Below are 6,157 nucleotides of genomic sequence, written 5' to 3'. Positions count from 1 at the left end.
TTACATCCTGTTCTGTTGAAAAGGAACGGATTGCTGTTAGGATTCTGTCCCGACGCCGACTCATGGCTCGCTCTTCAAACACTGAACCAAGTGGTGGAAAGGGCACGTGGTATGTTCACAACTCACACATGGAGCACAAACGCACACCCACATCCACCCACACGTCTGCCGAGCCTCCAGCCACTGGGCTGGATGTTATAGACTCGTGAACAAGCGGCCACTGTTATTCTCCCACTTCATCCTCACTGTCCTCTCAGTTCTGCTCACGGTTCTAGAGGACATGTTCTTTGCTGGTGCTGGCTTTCAGCAGTGCCTCCATGTGGCACCAGGTGCTCCTGCTCTGAGCCAATCAGTGTGTGTCTCTGGACACGTGGATTCCATCCTGATGGGATGCTTCTACAAGAGCAGTCCATGCACTAATTCAGACTGAGAAGGGAATAAAGGTGATGAAGTAGAGAGGCAAGGACTTTTCTACAAATTATCAAACTAGGAGTGCCAGCATCTTTTGAATATATATATAAATTAATAAGAAAATGCCATTCCAGCCTATCAATTCCAGTTACCTGTTCACACTGAGGTTCCACCCCATCCTAGGAGGCCATAAGGATACAAAGCGGCCAGTGATGAGTGCGGGAGGAGGCGGATGGGGGATCCCCAGGGCCAGGGCTAGAGGAGGAGGTTGAGGTACCCAGTGGGGACCTCAGAGACCCCGGGTCACCCCCTTCCTTCTGCAGTATCAGCTCCTGTCCTCACACCAACACGTGCAGTTGCACCACAGCCAATGCAGCTGCCCAGGATGCAGAGGCACCAGTGACACTGCTCCATGGTGATGGCACAGGCAGCTGTTGTGTGCACGTGAAGTAGACCAGAACTCTAAATGCTGTGCGGCGAGGCTGGAACCAGGCGGGAAAGAGCAGCAATGCTGTGTTACTGGAAAGACCGTGGAAATCCCCTGTAAGAACCCTGAGCCCCTGTGCCCACTCTGCGGGGCAGAGCGCTGGTGTTTTTCCTGAAAAGCTTGTGAGTCCATCTTGCTTTTTAACCATACTCACTTATAACGGTCACAAAAATGAAACATTTAAAAAATAAACAAATGCACCATGAGCAGCCTGTCCCAGGGCGATGGACTCACCCAGTCCCACGAGCAGACCTTTCAGGAGCTTTCCAATGGGGGTGATCAATTACGCAACAAACAGCTACTGAGCACCTACTGTCTACCAGGAACTGGCTCAGATAGGGCCAGGTGCCAGGTGTGAGCAAAAACACACATGAAACCTGGCCTTGTGATGCCCACAACGCAGCTGGGAAGACAGATGCCAGTTCACGTACACAAATACACGTACAATCTAAGATGCGGGAGCCCACTGCCCCACAGCCTCACAGGGAGGGAGGTCCCTTGGCTGACACCTGGGGAGGAGAGTCCCACCCACCACCCTGATCGTGGTCCTCCTAGGAGGAGGACCTTCTCTGCCCTCCTAGGGAGGAGCCAGTTACTGCTGCCCACAAGGAGGGCAATGATCCCATTACCAGTTGGCCTTAGGGCACTGTGGGCCCAGCCCTGCTTGGGGCAGGTGTGAAAGTGAAGGTCTACCTGACTCTGAACGCTTGGCCACAGCCTCTCCTCAGTGGAGGCCCATAGCCTCCATCCACAAGACAACGTGAGAATGTGAAATCAGGAGAATGGAGAAGTACCTTCTCTCCAGAGGGAATACAGTGAGTGAAATCAGGAGAATGGAGAAGTACCTTCTCTCCAGAGGGAATGCAGTGAGTGAAATCAGGAGAATGGAGAAGTACCTTCTCTCCAGAGGGAATACAGTGAGTGAAATCAGGAGAATGGAGAAGTACCTTCTCTCCAGAGGGAATACAGTGAATGCGTGCACGTGGGGGCTCTCCCACTCAGGCTGTGTGACCTCAGGCAAGCACCTTAGCTTCTCTGTGCCTCAGTTTCCTCCTTTATAAAACGGGGACTTAAAAACATCTTGTAGGATAGGATTGTCAAGAGAATTAAATGAGTTTATGTGTGTAAAGTGCTTTAAATAGTGTCTTCCAAAGACAGTCACCCAAATAAACCATGTGAGCCAAGGACACCAGTCACCTGGGGCTGACCCTGCTGAGATGAGATGGACAAGGTGGATGAGCTGGCCCATAACTTGAGACACTTATCCTGATATTCAGCCATAGGATGGTACAGGGGACCCGAGAGCTGTCAGCACCGTGCCCGCTTCCCACCCGTCCCTGCCCGCACTCTACCTGGGAGAGCCTCCTGGGCTGCTTGTCTGCCCCTGCATCACCAGACCCACACTCTGCAGCCCCACTCTTGAGCCCTTTCATCTATACTCCACGCCTGGTGAACCTCATGGTGACTCTGCTCCTCTTTTTCCCTCTTTCTTCTCTAAAAAAAAATCTCCATCTTGTGGCCAAGGAAGAAATAGTGTGAGTTGCTTGTAGGCAGGAAAAGTGATGAGGACGCAGGAAGATCTCCAGTGTTAACATGTGAACGACCATCTCCACACGCCCCCACCTCCTTCCCTGTTGATCGTCTTCCACATTCTCCAGAACCTGTGCTTTTAATTCTTGTGACTCAATTTGAAATCTATGTATGGAAATTACAATGATCAGTTGTGAGGAAGGCTCATGCCGGACAGTAGAAAGTTCCAGCCACAGCAACTTCATTGTGCAAATCGTTCTGGGCTCTCTCAAGGCAGCTTTCCCTTGGCTGTTGGCCCAGGAAGTTATTTATAATCCAATAAAAATTAAAAGGACTTGTGGGAAGGATTTACTTACAGAGTGCATTGGCTCTTGCATTCAATTCATTGCTAATGTTAATTCCTGTTCATTCTAAAATTTCTGAATATAGAGCCTTTGCCTCTACAGAGAATTTAGCAAGTAAACACCCAAGATGAGAGCCTTACTTTTTATTCAGCACTGGGTGCCCAGCACAGCGTCCAGGACACTCGTAAGGAGCCAGAAAACATTTAACAAATGATAATGATAAAAAATAAAAAGAAACTGGACAGGCACGGCTGTCTCCGCCACAGGTGACATCTGTCTGTGCCTCCATATGCATGGAATGCACCAAACGCTGAGGCTCCTACAGAAGAAAAACCCAACCAACGATCAGAGTTTCTCGACAGGTGCAATGACCCTAGAGTGTATGGGGCAGCCCTCATGTAAAATATGCTGCCCTCGGTTTCCCCTTTCCTGGCATCCATTTGTTCACTCTTGCTGTATTTTCTATCCTAAAGGACTTTGAATGCCCTGTAAAACACATAAAACAAGACTCAGAAAATGGATCCAAGTGGCAACTCAGGTGAGCTGCAAATGGAAGCCTCCAGGTAGCAGGGCGAGTGTTCCTCACACACACACACAGAGCCATCCATCTGGACAACGCTTCCCGCCTTCTCAGCACCATGGGGCACAGGAGCCGTGAAAGCTGCAGTACATGCTGAGGCTTGTGCAGGCCACTCACAGTCCTCCAAGGGCTCCATCCCCCGAGGTGCTGCCACTGTCTCGGGCAGGAGGCCACTCAGTCCTGCAAGGGCTCCATTCCCCGAGGTGCTGCCACTGTCCCGGGCAGGAGGCCACTCCGTCCTCCAAGGGCCCCATACCCCGAGGTGCTGCCGCTATCCCGGGCAGGAGGCCACTCGCGGTCCTCCAAGGGCCCTGTCCCCTCGCGGTGCTGCTGCTGTCCCGGGCAGGAGGCCACTCAGTCCTCCAAGGGCCCTGTCCCCCCGAGGTGCTTGCCGCTGTCCTGGGCAGGAGGCCACTCAGTCCTCCAAGGGCTCCATTCCCCGAGGTGCTGCCACTGTCCCGGGCAGGAGGCCACTCACGGTCCTCCAAGGGCCCTGTCCCCCCGAGGTGCTGCTGCTGTCCCAGGCAGGAGGCCACTCAGTCCTCCAAGGGCCCTGTCCCCCCGAGGTGCTGCCGCTGTCCTGGGCAGGAGGCCACTCACAGTCCTCCAAGGGCCCTGTCCCCCTGCGGTGCTGCTGCTGTCCCAGGCAGGAGGCCACTCACAGTCCTCCAAGGGCTCCATCCCCCGAGGTGCTGCCACTGTCCTGGGCAGGAGGCCACTCACGGTCCTCCAAGGGCCCTGTCCCCCCGAGGTGCTTGCCGCTGTCCCGGGCAGGAGGCCACTCAGTCCTCCAAGGGCTCCATTCCCCGAGGTGCTGCCGCTATCCTGGGCAGGAGGCCACTCACAGTCCTCCGAGGGCCCTGTCCCCCCGAGGTGCTGCCACTGTCCCGGGCAGGAGGCCACTCAGTCCTCCAAGGGCCCCATACCCCGAGGTGCTGCCGCTATCCTGGGCAGGAGGCCACTCGCGGTCCTCCAAGGGCCCTGTCCCCTCGCGGTGCTGCTGCTGTCCCGGGCAGGAGGCCACTCAGTCCTCCAAGGGCCCTGTCCCCCCGAGGTGCTGCCGCTGTCCTGGGCAGGAGGCCACTCACAGTCCTCCAAGGGCCCTGTCCCCCCACGGTGCAGCCACTGTCCCAGGCCGTCCAACCCCAAAGATGCAGGGAATCCAGAGCTCAGAACACCTGTGACCCACTCCTGGTGACACATGGGCTGGCAGGAGAGATGAGCGCTTTTCGTGGAACCAGTGTTTACCAATATCCTGTGGTCACTGAGGGATAGAGAGGAATAGGTTCTCAGCTACGTCTCTAGAATGCAAGCATGACTTCCCTATGGCCTGTTTCCCATCATAACCCTCAACGCAGACTGTGTCCATTTCCTAAGGTTGTTGTTATGAGTGTCACAAACTGGGTGGCTTCAAACATCAGAAATTTATTCTCACAATCTGGAGGCCAGAATCCAAACGCCCCGTGCTGGCAGGGCTGCTGCTTTCTCTCTGGAGATTCAGGGGGATCCTTCCTCCTCCTCCAGATTCTGGCCGCATCACTCCAGTCGGCCTCTGTCTTACGTGACCTCCTTCCTCTGTACCTCTGTCTTCACGTGACCTCCTTCCTCTGTGTCTGTGTCTTCACGTGACCTCCTTCCTCTGTGTCTCTGTCTTCACGTGACCTCCTTCCTCTGTACCTCTGTCTTCACGTGACCTCCTTCCTCTGTGTCTGTGTCTTCACATGACCTCCTTCCTCTGTGTCTCTGTCTGCTTATGAGGACCCCTGGCATGTTGGATTAGGGCCCAGCCGACTTCAGGGTGACCTCATCTTAGTCAAATTACATCGTCAATGGCTCCATTTCCAAAGAGGTCACATTCATAGGTACTGGGGGTTAGGACTTCAACATGTATTTTTGAGGGAAGACAATTTAACCCATATCACGGGCCAGTGGAAAATGCAAAGGTAAAACTGAGAAAACCAAGTCTGTGATGACTCAAAATAATGTGGTCCATACACTGAGGCCTCTAATGTGTGGCTTCATCTGAGGACAGCGGCTCCTCTATGACATCGTCACACACACCCAGTCCTTGGTGGGGCCTGGGCAGCTGAGGGCTTGAGGAACATTCTCCATCCATGACTATGGAAGGTCAGTGAAGCAGGGGCAGGAGGTACATCGTTCTGTGAGAATCAGGACTGGTCAGAGGTTCTGCTCTGATCTGTTCCAACTCATTGACACATGAGCACTTGAGCTCCAACTTCTCTGCCATGGAGCTGGAGCACAAGCAGAAACCACAGAAATGTCCCAGGGATTCCAGTACTTCGGCATCAGAGCTACGCCTCCCACAAAGCATTTAGCTCTGAGAGAGGTTAACAACCACAAAAACCGCAACACACTTCCTTTGTTGGATCATATGTCTGAAATTTAAAAATCAGTCTCCATATGGCTTGGCTAATCTGCCTCAGTTCCTCATTTTTTATTCCCCCACCCTCATATATATAACTTGGATTACACAGTCACATTTTGTTCAGTTGTATTTTGCATCTACTAGTGTAGCTGCCTTGCCTTGCACACTCTCTGTTCCTTGAGAACAGTCCGTTCTTAGATTCTCGGATCCTCCTCAGTGACTTGTTCATAGAGGCACAGGGATGCCTTACTAGTGCTGTCAAATGAGGATGATTCATAGTAATTCATGGAATACTAGCTCTGAAAATCCTGGCCCATACTAGTCCAGAGTCAGGCCATATAGCTAACTGGGTGCATTTAGATGTCCACATTGTGAAGATTTCCGGAAAATGTTCATCTCAGTTCTTCTGTCCTAGAGAT

The sequence above is a fragment of the Homo sapiens genome, chromosome 13 (assembly GCF_000001405.40).
Source record: "Homo sapiens chromosome 13, GRCh38.p14 Primary Assembly".
NCBI lineage: Eukaryota > Metazoa > Chordata > Mammalia > Primates > Hominidae > Homo > Homo sapiens.
This window is presented reverse-complemented; position numbering follows the sequence as displayed.